Source organism: Homo sapiens, chromosome 1, assembly GCF_000001405.40.
Source record: "Homo sapiens chromosome 1, GRCh38.p14 Primary Assembly".
In the NCBI taxonomy this organism is placed as follows: Eukaryota; Metazoa; Chordata; class Mammalia; order Primates; family Hominidae; genus Homo; species Homo sapiens.
Window position 1 is genome coordinate 145,373,003 of NC_000001.11, and position 14,830 is coordinate 145,387,832.

Consider the following 14,830-nt stretch of genomic DNA (forward strand, 5'->3'; position numbering starts at 1 on the left):
AGTGATCATGAAAAGAGTGGGCTCAATAATTTTCCATAAACTTGCTCAAGATTCCATGCAGTTGCCATACAGCCTTTGAGGTATGGTCAACCTATAGTAAGTTAGTAAATGATAAGGGGAGGAAGAAATGGAAACCTAAACATCTACTGCAATGAAAACCAACAGCAATATCAGGAGGAGTAATTCAACCTTCGTTGAAAACATGAAATTGAACACACTCTTGTTTTCCCTGGACCTGGCATCTCCAGGTGTCAACACAGAATTAAGCATCCATAATTGCTCAAAGTTACCTGGGGCATGATGGGTCTTGGTCTTCTTCCACTTCTTGGTACTTTTCAATTTCTGCAATAAGTTCAGACATGGACAGACATATTAAGCTGGTTCTCCTACACACATAACAATCCACTGTCTAATCCTCACACAGGGACTTCAGGCTCCTCAGCATGAGAATAGGACACTGTGAGAGATAGTCTTCAGGAGGCCTGAAGGCTGATCACCATAGAGATTCCTTGGTTTTTGTCCCAGAAACTGTGGGTAAAATTCCCTATTCTGGTAGATCGTTATCCCAATATCATTTGTCCCAAGTTTGTGCAAATGGTTATGCCATATTTTTCCAATCGATTTAAAGCAAATGCCCCCAAATGGTTGCTAGGAGAAAAACTGCACTATTCAGCCCTGTCTCATCAAATACTCAGATTGTTCACGGTAGCGAGGATTTTAGACGCTGAAATTAGAGTGAAGGATGAAATCTACAAGATCTACAAAATTGAGACAAAATCAGAGTTGTGTGAATTTGTCACATCTGCCCAGGTCCAACGTCATGAGAGTAGGATTAGGGCGCCACAGGCATGGCCTGAGACTAGGAAGAGAGCCTTGCTCACTGACCCATCCCTTGTCTGGGCTTCCAAGTGGAACTAGAGTTTCATTCAACCTACATGTGCCTATAGGACCTCCCTGTGGCAATGACATCTCTCAGCTCAGTAAGGGCCACTTGCAGTAGGAATATGACCCTAACCAGAAGACTCAGTGGATCCTTATCACCTTCATAGAAAGGTACTCACCATCCATGTCAACAGCCAAGCCAACACGCTGTTGCTCCAATACGTAAAAGGCACTTCTGTAGGGCTGGCATGAGTCAGTCAGTTCAAGACAACCTGAAGGAGTTGAATAACTTCTATCCAGTGAGTCCTGCAAGACTTCAGGCCCTTTCTCATCCAGCAGCTCCCTGCTGAGCCTGGAAAAGTGGGAAAAAGTAAAGAATAAGCCAGGGGGAATCAGAAACCACACAGCCCCAGCTAGATTTCATGGCTAACGTAAGGAAGAGTTTGAAAAGAAAAAGGACAGATCCATTAATGAGGTAACAAATTATTGCCTTTATGTTGGGATAGAACAGGGCCAGGTAGAAAACAATGAAAGAGAAAGACAGAGAGAGAGAGAGAGACAGAGACAGAGAGAGAGACAGAGACAGAGACAGAGAGAAAGTGACCTAGTGAATTGGCCAGGTGACATACTGGTAAGGGAGTAAAAGGACACTCTGAGTTAGTGCCCTCATGACACACAGCAAACTGTGATCATGAAAAGAGTGAGCTCAATAGTTTTCCATAAAATATGCTCAAAATTCGATGCAGTGGCCATGAGAGTACAGCTTTTGAAGTATGGTCAACCTATGGTACGTTAGGAAATGATAAGGGGAGGAAGAAATGGAAACCTAAACATCTACTGCAATGAAAACCAACAGCAATGACAGTAGGAGTAATTCAGCCTTCGTTGAAAACATGACATCAAACACACTCTGGTTTCCCTGAATCTGTTGCCTCCAGGTGTTAACACAGAATTAAGCATCCACAATTGCTGAAAGTCACCTGGGGCATGGTGGGTTTTGATCTTCTTCCCCTTCTTTTCTTCCCCTTCTTCTTTCCTTCTTTGATCTTCTTCCCCTTCTTTTCTTCCCCTTCCCCTTCTTTTCAATTTCTGCAATAAATTCAGACATGGACAGACACATTAAGCTGATTCCCCTACACACATAACAATCCACTGTCTAATCCTCACACAGGGACCTCAGGCTCCTCAGCATAAGAATAGGACACCGTGAGAGATATATTTCAGGAGGCCTGAAGGCTGGTCATGATAGAAATTCCTCGGTTTTTCTCCCAGAAACTGTGGGTAAAATGTCCCTATTCTAGTAGATCGTTATCCCAATATCATTTGTCCCAAGTTTGTGCAAACAGTTATGCCATATTTTTCCAATCAACTTAAAGCAAATACCCTCAAATGATTTCTAGGAGAAAAACTGCAATATTTAGCCCTGTCTCATCAAATACTCAGATTGTTCATGGTTGTGAGGACTTTAGACACTGAAATTAGAGTGAAAAAGGAAATCTACAAACCCTTGAGTCAAAATCATAGTTCTCTGAATTTGTCACATCTGCCCAGGTCCAATGTCATGAGGATAGGATCAGGGCGCCACAGGTATGGCCTGAGACTAGGAAGAGAGTCTTGCTCACTGACCCATCCCTTGCCTGGGCTTCCAGGTAGAACTAGAGTTTCATTCAACCTACATGTGCCTATAGGTCCTCCCTGTGGCAATGACATCTCTCAGCTCAGTAATGGCCACTTGGAGCAGGAATATGATCTTTATATGGAAGACTCAGTGGATCCTTATCACCTTCATAGAAAGGTACTCACCTCCCACGTCAAGAGAAAAGCCAACATGTTTTTCCTCCAATGCATAAAAGGAACTTCCATAGGGCTGGCAGGAGTCAGGCTGTTCAAGACAACTGGAAGGAGTTGAATAACATCTATCCAGTGAGTCCTGCAAGACTTCAGGCTCTACTACCTCCAGCAGCTCCCTGCTGAGCCTGGAAAAGGAGGAAAAAGTAAAGAATAAGCCAGGGGAAATCAGACACAACAGAGCCCCAACTAGGTTTCATGGGTAGCATAGGGAAGTGGTTAAAAAACTAAAAGGATAGATCCATTAATGAGGTAACAAATTATTGCCTTCATGTTGGGACAGAACAGGGCCAAATGGAAAAGAATGAAAGAGAAAGACAGATAGACACACACACACACACACACACACACACACACACAGACACACACACACACACAGAGAGAACGAGCTCAGTGAATTGTCCAGGTGACACACTGATGAGGGAGTAACAGGACACTCTGAGTTAGTGCCCTCAGGACACACAGCATACAGGGATCATGAAAAGACTGTGCTCAATAATTTTCCATAAAATGTGCTCAAGTTTCCATGCAGTCGCCATGAGAATACAGTTTTTGAAGTCTGGTCCACCTACAGTAGGTTAGTAAATGATAAGGGGAGGAAGAAATGGAAACCTAAATATCTACTGCAATGAAAACCAACAGCAATGTTAGTAGGAATAATTCAGGCTTGCTGGAAAAGATGTAATCGATAATGTCAGCCCGCTCTGTTTTCCCTGAACCAGGAGTCTCCAGATGTCAACACAGAAGTAGCTGTTCACAATTGCTCAGTTACCTGGGGCATGGTGGGCCTTGGTCTTCTTCCTCTTCTTGGTCCTTTTTAGTTCCTGCAATACATTCAGACAGGGACAGACAAAATAAGCCAATTCACCTACACCCATAACAGTCCACTGTCTAATCCCCACACAGGGATCTCAGGCTCCTCAGCATGAGAACAGGACAATGTGAGAGAGATACTTCAGGAGGCCTGAAAGCTGGTCATGATATTCTTTGGTTTGCATCTCAGAACCAAGGGTGAAATATCCCCATTCTGGTAGATCGTTATCCCAAAATCATTTATCCCAAGTTTGTGCAAACAGTTATGCCTTATTGTTCCCATCAGTTCAAAGAAAATGCCCCAGATGATTTCTAGGAGGAAAACTGCAGTATTCAGCCCTGTCTCATCAAATGCCCAGCTCGTTCATGGATGCAAGAATTTTAGACACTGAAATTAGAATGAAGGAGGAAATCTACAAACCCTTGAGTCCAAATCATACTTCTGTGAATTTTTTACATCTGCCTGGGTCCAATGTGCTGAGAGCGGGCTCAGCTTGCCACAGGCATGGCTGGAGACTAGGAATAGAGCCTTGCTCACTGACCCATTTCATGTCTAGGCTTCCAACTGAGACTACAGTTTCATTACAACCTATATGCGCCCATAGGTCCTGCCTGCGGCAATGACATCTCTCGGGTCAGTAAGGGCCACTTGGAACAGGAATATCACCCCTATCTGGAAGACCAGGTGGAGGCTTATCACCTTCACAGTAAGGTACTCACTGTCCACGTCAAGAGCCAAGCCAAGGTACTGTTCCTCCAATGAGTAAACAGCACTGCTGTAGGGCTGGCCTAAGTCAGGCAGTTCAAGATAACCTGAAGGAGTCGAATAACATCTATCCAGTGAGTCCTGCAAGACTTCAGGCTCTTTCTCATCCAGCAGCTCCCTGCTGAGCCTGGAAAAGTAGGAAAAAGTAAAGAATAAGCCAGGGGGAATCAGAAACCACACAGCCCCAGCTAGATTTCATGGCTAACATAAGGAACTGTTTAAAAAGAAAAAGGACAGATCCATTAATGAGGTAATGAATTATTGCCTTTATGTTGGCATAGACCAGGGCCAGGTAGAAAAGAATGAAAGAGAAAGACAGGGAGAGGGAGGGAGAGAGAGAGAGAGAGAGGAGAAAGTGAGCTCAGCGAGTTGGCCGGGTGACACACTGATGAAGGGGTCAAAGGACACTCTGAGTTAGTGCCCTCGGGACACACAGCGAACAGTGATCATGAAAAGAGTGGGCTCAATAATTTTCCATAAACTTGCTCAAGATTCCATGCAGTTGCCATACAGCCTTTGAGGTATGGTCAACCTATAGTAAGTTAGTAAATGATAAGGGGAGGAAGAAATGGAAACCTAAACATCTACTGCAATGAAAACCAACAGCAATGTCAGGAGGAGTAATTCAACCTTCGTTGAAAACATGAAATTGAACACACTCTTGTTTTCCCTGGACCTGGCATCTCCAGGTGTCGACACAGAATTAAGCATCCATAATTGCTCAAAGTTACCTGGGGCATGATGGGTCTTGGTCTTCTTCCACTTCTTGGTACTTTTCAATTTCTGCAATAAGTTCAGACATGGACAGACATATTAAGCTGGTTCTCCTACACACATAACAATCCACTGTCTAATCCTCACACAGGGACTTCAGGCTCCTCAGCATGAGAATAGGACACTGTGAGAGATAGTCTTCAGGAGGCCTGAAGGCTGATCACGATAGAGATTCCTTGGTTTTTGTCCCAGAAACTGTGGGTAAAATTCCCTATTCTGGTAGATCGTTATCCCAATATCATTTGTCCCAAGTTTGTGCAAATGGTTATGCCATATTTTTCCAATCGATTTAAAGCAAATGCCCCCAAATGGTTGCTAGGAGAAAAACTGCACTATTCAGCCCTGTCTCATCAAATACTCAGATTGTTCACGGTAGCGAGGATTTTAGACACTGAAATTAGAGTGAAGGATGAAATCTACAAGATCTACAAAATTGAGACAAAATCAGAGTTGTGTGAATTTGTCACATCTGCCCAGGTCCAACGTCATGAGAGTAGGATTAGGGCGCCACAGGCATGGCCTGAGACTAGGAAGAGAGCCTTGCTCACTGACCCATCCCTTGTCTGGGCTTCCAAGTGGAACTAGAGTTTCATTCAACCTACATGTGCCTATAGGACCTCCCTGTGGCAATGACATCTCTCAGCTCAGTAAGGGCCACTTGCAGTAGGAATATGACCCTAACCAGAAGACTCAGTGGATCCTTATCACCTTCATAGAAAGGTACTCACCATCCATGTCAACAGCCAAGCCAACACGCTGTTGCTCCAATACGTAAAAGGCACTTCTGTAGGGCTGGCATGAGTCAGTCAGTTCAAGACAACCTGAAGGAGTTGAATAACATCTATCCAGTGAGTCCTGCAAGACTTCAGGCCCTTTCTCATCCAGCAGCTCCCTGCTGAGCCTGGAAAAGTGGGAAAAAGTAAAGAATAAGCCAGGGGGAATCAGAAACCACACAGCCCCAGCTAGATTTCATGGCTAACGTAAGGAAGAGTTTGAAAAGAAAAAGGACAGATCCATTAATGAGGTAACAAATTATTGCCTTTATGTTGGGATAGAACAGGGCCAGGTAGAAAACAATGAAAGAGAAAGACAGAGAGAGAGAGAGAGACAGAGACAGAGAGAGAGAGACAGAGACAGAGACAGAGAGAAAGTGACCTAGTGAATTGGCCAGGTGACATACTGGTAAGGGAGTAAAAGGACACTCTGAGTTAGTGCCCTCATGACACACAGCAAACTGTGATCATGAAAAGAGTGAGCTCAATAGTTTTCCATAAAATATGCTCAAAATTCGATGCAGTGGCCATGAGAGTACAGCTTTTGAAGTATGGTCAACCTATGGTACGTTAGGAAATGATAAGGGGAGGAAGAAATGGAAACCTAAACATCTACTGCAATGAAAACCAACAGCAATGACAGTAGGAGTAATTCAGCCTTCGTTGAAAACATGACATCAAACACACTCTGGTTTCCCTGAATCTGTTGCCTCCAGGTGTTAACACAGAATTAAGCATCCACAATTGCTGAAAGTCACCTGGGGCATGGTGGGTTTTGATCTTCTTCCCCTTCTTTTCTTCCCCTTCTTCTTTCCTTCTTTGATCTTCTTCCCCTTCTTTTCTTCCCCTTCCCCTTCTTTTCAATTTCTGCAATAAATTCAGACATGGACAGACACATTAAGCTGATTCCCCTACACACATAACAATCCACTGTCTAATCCTCACACAGGGACCTCAGGCTCCTCAGCATAAGAATAGGACACCGTGAGAGATATATTTCAGGAGGCCTGAAGGCTGGTCATGATAGAAATTCCTCGGTTTTTCTCCCAGAAACTGTGGGTAAAATGTCCCTATTCTAGTAGATCGTTATCCCAATATCATTTGTCCCAAGTTTGTGCAAACAGTTATGCCATATTTTTCCAATCAACTTAAAGCAAATACCCTCAAATGATTTCTAGGAGAAAAACTGCAATATTTAGCCCTGTCTCATCAAATACTCAGATTGTTCATGGTTGTGAGGACTTTAGACACTGAAATTAGAGTGAAAAAGGAAATCTACAAACCCTTGAGTCAAAATCATAGTTCTCTGAATTTGTCACATCTGCCCAGGTCCAATGTCATGAGGATAGGATCAGGGCGCCACAGGTATGGCCTGAGACTAGGAAGAGAGTCTTGCTCACTGACCCATCCCTTGCCTGGGCTTCCAGGTAGAACTAGAGTTTCATTCAACCTACATGTGCCTATAGGTCCTCCCTGTGGCAATGACATCTCTCAGCTCAGTAATGGCCACTTGGAGCAGGAATATGATCTTTATATGGAAGACTCAGTGGATCCTTATCACCTTCATAGAAAGGTACTCACCTCCCACGTCGAGAGAAAAGCCAACATGTTTTTCCTCCAATGCATAAAAGGAACTTCCATAGGGCTGGCAGGAGTCAGGCTGTTCAAGACAACTGGAAGGAGTTGAATAACATCTATCCAGTGAGTCCTGCAAGACTTCAGGCTCTACTACCTCCAGCAGCTCCCTGCTGAGCCTGGAAAAGGAGGAAAAAGTAAAGAATAAGCCAGGGGAAATCAGACACAACAGAGCCCCAACTAGGTTTCATGGGTAGCATAGGGAAGTGGTTAAAAAACTAAAAGGATAGATCCATTAATGAGGTAACAAATTATTGCCTTCATGTTGGGACAGAACAGGGCCAAATGGAAAAGAATGAAAGAGAAAGACAGATAGACACACACACACACACACACACACACACACACACAGACACACACACACACACACAGAGAACGAGCTCAGTGAATTGTCCAGGTGACACACTGATGAGGGAGTAACAGGACACTCTGAGTTAGTGCCCTCAGGACACACAGCATACAGGGATCATGAAAAGACTGTGCTCAATAATTTTCCATAAAATGTGCTCAAGTTTCCATGCAGTCGCCATGAGAATACAGTTTTTGAAGTCTGGTCCACCTACAGTAGGTTAGTAAATGATAAGGGGAGGAAGAAATGGAAACCTAAATATCTACTGCAATGAAAACCAACAGCAATGTTAGTAGGAATAATTCAGGCTTGCTGGAAAAGATGTAATCGATAATGTCAGCCCGCTCTGTTTTCCCTGAACCAGGAGTCTCCAGATGTCAACACAGAAGTAGCTGTTCACAATTGCTCAGTTACCTGGGGCATGGTGGGCCTTGGTCTTCTTCCTCTTCTTGGTCCTTTTTAGTTCCTGCAATACATTCAGACAGGGACAGACAAAATAAGCCAATTCACCTACACCCATAACAGTCCACTGTCTAATCCCCACACAGGGATCTCAGGCTCCTCAGCATGAGAACAGGACAATGTGAGAGAGATACTTCAGGAGGCCTGAAAGCTGGTCATGATATTCTTTGGTTTGCATCTCAGAACCAAGGGTGAAATATCCCCATTCTGGTAGATCGTTATCCCAAAATCATTTATCCCAAGTTTGTGCAAACAGTTATGCCTTATTGTTCCCATCAGTTCAAAGAAAATGCCCCAGATGATTTCTAGGAGGAAAACTGCAGTATTCAGCCCTGTCTCATCAAATGCCCAGCTCGTTCATGGATGCAAGAATTTTAGACACTGAAATTAGAATGAAGGAGGAAATCTACAAACCCTTCAGTCCAAATCATACTTCTGTGAATTTTTTACATCTGCCTGGGTCCAATGTGCTGAGAGCGGGCTCAGCTTGCCACAGGCATGGCTGGAGACTAGGAATAGAGCCTTGCTCACTGACCCATTTCATGTCTAGGCTTCCAACTGAGACTACAGTTTCATTACAACCTATATGCGCCCATAGGTCCTGCCTGCGGCAATGACATCTCTCGGGTCAGTAAGGGCCACTTGGAACAGGAATATCACCCCTATCTGGAAGACCAGGTGGAGGCTTATCACCTTCACAGTAAGGTACTCACTGTCCACGTCAAGAGCCAAGCCAAGGTACTGTTCCTCCAATGAGTAAACAGCACTGCTGTAGGGCTGGCCTAAGTCAGGCAGTTCAAGATAACCTGAAGGAGTCGAATAACATCTATCCAGTGAGTCCTGCAAGACTTCAGGCTCTTTCTCATCCAGCAGCTCCCTGCTGAGCCTGGAAAAGTAGGAAAAAGTAAAGAATAAGCCAGGGGGAATCAGAAACCACACAGCCCCAGCTAGATTTCATGGCTAACATAAGGAACTGTTTAAAAAGAAAAAGGACAGATCCATTAATGAGGTAATGAATTATTGCCTTTATGTTGGGATAGACCAGGGCCAGGTAGAAAAGAATGAAAGAGAAAGACAGGGAGAGGGAGGGAGAGAGAGAGAGAGAGAGAGAGGAGAAAGTAAGCTCAGCGAGTTGGCCGGGTGACACACTGATGAAGGGGTCAAAGGACACTCTGAGTTAGTGCCCTCGGGACACACAGCGAACAGTGATCATGAAAAGAGTGGGCTCAATAATTTTCCATAAACTTGCTCAAGATTCCATGCAGTTGCCATACAGCCTTTGAGGTATGGTCAACCTATAGTAAGTTAGTAAATGATAAGGGGAGGAAGAAATGGAAACCTAAACATCTACTGCAATGAAAACCAACAGCAATATCAGGAGGAGTAATTCAACCTTCGTTGAAAACATGAAATTGAACACACTCTTGTTTTCCCTGGACCTGGCATCTCCAGGTGTCAACACAGAATTAAGCATCCATAATTGCTCAAAGTTACCTGGGGCATGATGGGTCTTGGTCTTCTTCCACTTCTTGGTACTTTTCAATTTCTGCAATAAGTTCAGACATGGACAGACATATTAAGCTGGTTCTCCTACACACATAACAATCCACTGTCTAATCCTCACACAGGGACTTCAGGCTCCTCAGCATGAGAATAGGACACTGTGAGAGATAGTCTTCAGGAGGCCTGAAGGCTGATCACCATAGAGATTCCTTGGTTTTTGTCCCAGAAACTGTGGGTAAAATTCCCTATTCTGGTAGATCGTTATCCCAATATCATTTGTCCCAAGTTTGTGCAAATGGTTATGCCATATTTTTCCAATCGATTTAAAGCAAATGCCCCCAAATGGTTGCTAGGAGAAAAACTGCACTATTCAGCCCTGTCTCATCAAATACTCAGATTGTTCACGGTAGCGAGGATTTTAGACGCTGAAATTAGAGTGAAGGATGAAATCTACAAGATCTACAAAATTGAGACAAAATCAGAGTTGTGTGAATTTGTCACATCTGCCCAGGTCCAACGTCATGAGAGTAGGATTAGGGCGCCACAGGCATGGCCTGAGACTAGGAAGAGAGCCTTGCTCACTGACCCATCCCTTGTCTGGGCTTCCAAGTGGAACTAGAGTTTCATTCAACCTACATGTGCCTATAGGACCTCCCTGTGGCAATGACATCTCTCAGCTCAGTAAGGGCCACTTGCAGTAGGAATATGACCCTAACCAGAAGACTCAGTGGATCCTTATCACCTTCATAGAAAGGTACTCACCATCCATGTCAACAGCCAAGCCAACACGCTGTTGCTCCAATACGTAAAAGGCACTTCTGTAGGGCTGGCATGAGTCAGTCAGTTCAAGACAACCTGAAGGAGTTGAATAACTTCTATCCAGTGAGTCCTGCAAGACTTCAGGCCCTTTCTCATCCAGCAGCTCCCTGCTGAGCCTGGAAAAGTGGGAAAAAGTAAAGAATAAGCCAGGGGGAATCAGAAACCACACAGCCCCAGCTAGATTTCATGGCTAACGTAAGGAAGAGTTTGAAAAGAAAAAGGACAGATCCATTAATGAGGTAACAAATTATTGCCTTTATGTTGGGATAGAACAGGGCCAGGTAGAAAACAATGAAAGAGAAAGACAGAGAGAGAGAGAGAGACAGAGACAGAGAGAGAGACAGAGACAGAGACAGAGAGAAAGTGACCTAGTGAATTGGCCAGGTGACATACTGGTAAGGGAGTAAAAGGACACTCTGAGTTAGTGCCCTCATGACACACAGCAAACTGTGATCATGAAAAGAGTGAGCTCAATAGTTTTCCATAAAATATGCTCAAAATTCGATGCAGTGGCCATGAGAGTACAGCTTTTGAAGTATGGTCAACCTATGGTACGTTAGGAAATGATAAGGGGAGGAAGAAATGGAAACCTAAACATCTACTGCAATGAAAACCAACAGCAATGACAGTAGGAGTAATTCAGCCTTCGTTGAAAACATGACATCAAACACACTCTGGTTTCCCTGAATCTGTTGCCTCCAGGTGTTAACACAGAATTAAGCATCCACAATTGCTGAAAGTCACCTGGGGCATGGTGGGTTTTGATCTTCTTCCCCTTCTTTTCTTCCCCTTCTTCTTTCCTTCTTTGATCTTCTTCCCCTTCTTTTCTTCCCCTTCCCCTTCTTTTCAATTTCTGCAATAAATTCAGACATGGACAGACACATTAAGCTGATTCCCCTACACACATAACAATCCACTGTCTAATCCTCACACAGGGACCTCAGGCTCCTCAGCATAAGAATAGGACACCGTGAGAGATATATTTCAGGAGGCCTGAAGGCTGGTCATGATAGAAATTCCTCGGTTTTTCTCCCAGAAACTGTGGGTAAAATGTCCCTATTCTAGTAGATCGTTATCCCAATATCATTTGTCCCAAGTTTGTGCAAACAGTTATGCCATATTTTTCCAATCAACTTAAAGCAAATACCCTCAAATGATTTCTAGGAGAAAAACTGCAATATTTAGCCCTGTCTCATCAAATACTCAGATTGTTCATGGTTGTGAGGACTTTAGACACTGAAATTAGAGTGAAAAAGGAAATCTACAAACCCTTGAGTCAAAATCATAGTTCTCTGAATTTGTCACATCTGCCCAGGTCCAATGTCATGAGGATAGGATCAGGGCGCCACAGGTATGGCCTGAGACTAGGAAGAGAGTCTTGCTCACTGACCCATCCCTTGCCTGGGCTTCCAGGTAGAACTAGAGTTTCATTCAACCTACATGTGCCTATAGGTCCTCCCTGTGGCAATGACATCTCTCAGCTCAGTAATGGCCACTTGGAGCAGGAATATGATCTTTATATGGAAGACTCAGTGGATCCTTATCACCTTCATAGAAAGGTACTCACCTCCCACGTCAAGAGAAAAGCCAACATGTTTTTCCTCCAATGCATAAAAGGAACTTCCATAGGGCTGGCAGGAGTCAGGCTGTTCAAGACAACTGGAAGGAGTTGAATAACATCTATCCAGTGAGTCCTGCAAGACTTCAGGCTCTACTACCTCCAGCAGCTCCCTGCTGAGCCTGGAAAAGGAGGAAAAAGTAAAGAATAAGCCAGGGGAAATCAGACACAACAGAGCCCCAACTAGGTTTCATGGGTAGCATAGGGAAGTGGTTAAAAAACTAAAAGGATAGATCCATTAATGAGGTAACAAATTATTGCCTTCATGTTGGGACAGAACAGGGCCAAATGGAAAAGAATGAAAGAGAAAGACAGATAGACACACACACACACACACACACACAGACACACACACAGACACACACACACACAGAGAGAGAACGAGCTCAGTGAATTGTCCAGGTGACACACTGATGAGGGAGTAACAGGACACTCTGAGTTAGTGCCCTCAGGACACACAGCATACAGGGATCATGAAAAGACTGTGCTCAATAATTTTCCATAAAATGTGCTCAAGTTTCCATGCAGTCGCCATGAGAATACAGTTTTTGAAGTCTGGTCCACCTACAGTAGGTTAGTAAATGATAAGGGGAGGAAGAAATGGAAACCTAAATATCTACTGCAATGAAAACCAACAGCAATGTTAGTAGGAATAATTCAGGCTTGCTGGAAAAGATGTAATCGATAATGTCAGCCCGCTCTGTTTTCCCTGAACCAGGAGTCTCCAGATGTCAACACAGAAGTAGCTGTTCACAATTGCTCAGTTACCTGGGGCATGGTGGGCCTTGGTCTTCTTCCTCTTCTTGGTCCTTTTTAGTTCCTGCAATACATTCAGACAGGGACAGACAAAATAAGCCAATTCACCTACACCCATAACAGTCCACTGTCTAATCCCCACACAGGGATCTCAGGCTCCTCAGCATGAGAACAGGACAATGTGAGAGAGATACTTCAGGAGGCCTGAAAGCTGGTCATGATATTCTTTGGTTTGCATCTCAGAACCAAGGGTGAAATATCCCCATTCTGGTAGATCGTTATCCCAAAATCATTTATCCCAAGTTTGTGCAAACAGTTATGCCTTATTGTTCCCATCAGTTCAAAGAAAATGCCCCAGATGATTTCTAGGAGGAAAACTGCAGTATTCAGCCCTGTCTCATCAAATGCCCAGCTCGTTCATGGATGCAAGAATTTTAGACACTGAAATTAGAATGAAGGAGGAAATCTACAAACCCTTCAGTCCAAATCATACTTCTGTGAATTTTTTACATCTGCCTGGGTCCAATGTGCTGAGAGCGGGCTCAGCTTGCCACAGGCATGGCTGGAGACTAGGAATAGAGCCTTGCTCACTGACCCATTTCATGTCTAGGCTTCCAACTGAGACTACAGTTTCATTACAACCTATATGCGCCCATAGGTCCTGCCTGCGGCAATGACATCTCTCGGGTCAGTAAGGGCCACTTGGAACAGGAATATCACCCCTATCTGGAAGACCAGGTGGAGGCTTATCACCTTCACAGTAAGGTACTCACTGTCCACGTCAAGAGCCAAGCCAAGGTACTGTTCCTCCAATGAGTAAACAGCACTGCTGTAGGGCTGGCCTAAGTCAGGCAGTTCAAGATAACCTGAAGGAGTCGAATAACATCTATCCAGTGAGTCCTGCAAGACTTCAGGCTCTTTCTCATCCAGCAGCTCCCTGCTGAGCCTGGAAAAGTAGGAAAAAGTAAAGAATAAGCCAGGGGGAATCAGAAACCACACAGCCCCAGCTAGATTTCATGGCTAACATAAGGAACTGTTTAAAAAGAAAAAGGACAGATCCATTAATGAGGTAATGAATTATTGCCTTTATGTTGGGATAGACCAGGGCCAGGTAGAAAAGAATGAAAGAGAAAGACAGGGAGAGGGAGAGAGAGAGAGAGAGAGGAGAAAGTGAGCTCAGCGAGTTGGCCGGGTGACACACTGATGAAGGGGTCAAAGGACACTCTGAGTTAGTGCCCTCGGGACACACAGCGAACAGTGATCATGAAAAGAGTGGGCTCAATAATTTTCCATAAACTTGCTCAAGATTCCATGCAGTTGCCATACAGCCTTTGAGGTATGGTCAACCTATAGTAAGTTAGTAAATGATAAGGGGAGGAAGAAATGGAAACCTAAACATCTACTGCAATGAAAACCAACAGCAATGTCAGGAGGAGTAATTCAACCTTCGTTGAAAACATGAAATTGAACACACTCTTGTTTTCCCTGGACCTGGCATCTCCAGGTGTCAACACAGAATTAAGCATCCATAATTGCTCAAAGTTACCTGGGGCATGATGGGTCTTGGTCTTCTTCCACTTCTTGGTACTTTTCAATTTCTGCAATAAGTTCAGACATGGACAGACATATTAAGCTGGTTCTCCTACACACATAACAATCCACTGTCTAATCCTCACACAGGGACTTCAGGCTCCTCAGCATGAGAATAGGACACTGTGAGAGGTAGTCTTCAGGAGGCCTGAAGGCTGATCACGATAGAGATTCCTTGGTTTTTGTCCCAGAAACTGTGGGTAAAATTCCCTATTCTGGTAGATCGTTATCCCAATATCATT

At 44.1% G+C, this 14,830-nt stretch overlaps 1 protein-coding gene across 3 annotated transcripts in view; it reads right to left on the reverse strand.

The window, feature by feature from the left end:
* Positions 1 to 14,830, reverse strand: part of NBPF20 (NBPF member 20) — a 135,704-nt gene that overhangs the window by 83,103 nt on the left and 37,771 nt on the right. For 2 of the 3 annotated variants that reach the window (NM_001278267.1, NM_001397211.1), the window contains 19 exons: positions 14,545 to 14,596; positions 13,772 to 13,944; positions 13,011 to 13,062; positions 12,192 to 12,364; positions 11,369 to 11,477; positions 10,568 to 10,740; positions 9,797 to 9,848; positions 9,016 to 9,188; positions 8,255 to 8,306; positions 7,438 to 7,610; positions 6,615 to 6,723; positions 5,812 to 5,984; positions 5,041 to 5,092; positions 4,264 to 4,436; positions 3,503 to 3,554; positions 2,686 to 2,858; positions 1,863 to 1,971; positions 1,062 to 1,234; positions 291 to 342 (listed from right to left, as the gene is read on the reverse strand). In NM_001278267.1, the coding sequence (NP_001265196.1) occupies positions 291 to 342; positions 1,062 to 1,234; positions 1,863 to 1,971; positions 2,686 to 2,858; positions 3,503 to 3,554; positions 4,264 to 4,436; positions 5,041 to 5,092; positions 5,812 to 5,984; positions 6,615 to 6,723; positions 7,438 to 7,610; positions 8,255 to 8,306; positions 9,016 to 9,188; positions 9,797 to 9,848; positions 10,568 to 10,740; positions 11,369 to 11,477; positions 12,192 to 12,364; positions 13,011 to 13,062; positions 13,772 to 13,944; positions 14,545 to 14,596 (2,248 nt within the window). The remainder of the gene's footprint in view (positions 1 to 290; positions 343 to 1,061; positions 1,235 to 1,862; positions 1,972 to 2,685; positions 2,859 to 3,502; positions 3,555 to 4,263; positions 4,437 to 5,040; positions 5,093 to 5,811; positions 5,985 to 6,614; positions 6,724 to 7,437; positions 7,611 to 8,254; positions 8,307 to 9,015; positions 9,189 to 9,796; positions 9,849 to 10,567; positions 10,741 to 11,368; positions 11,478 to 12,191; positions 12,365 to 13,010; positions 13,063 to 13,771; positions 13,945 to 14,544; positions 14,597 to 14,830) is intronic. The other variant, XM_047446015.1, reaches the window with a different exon arrangement.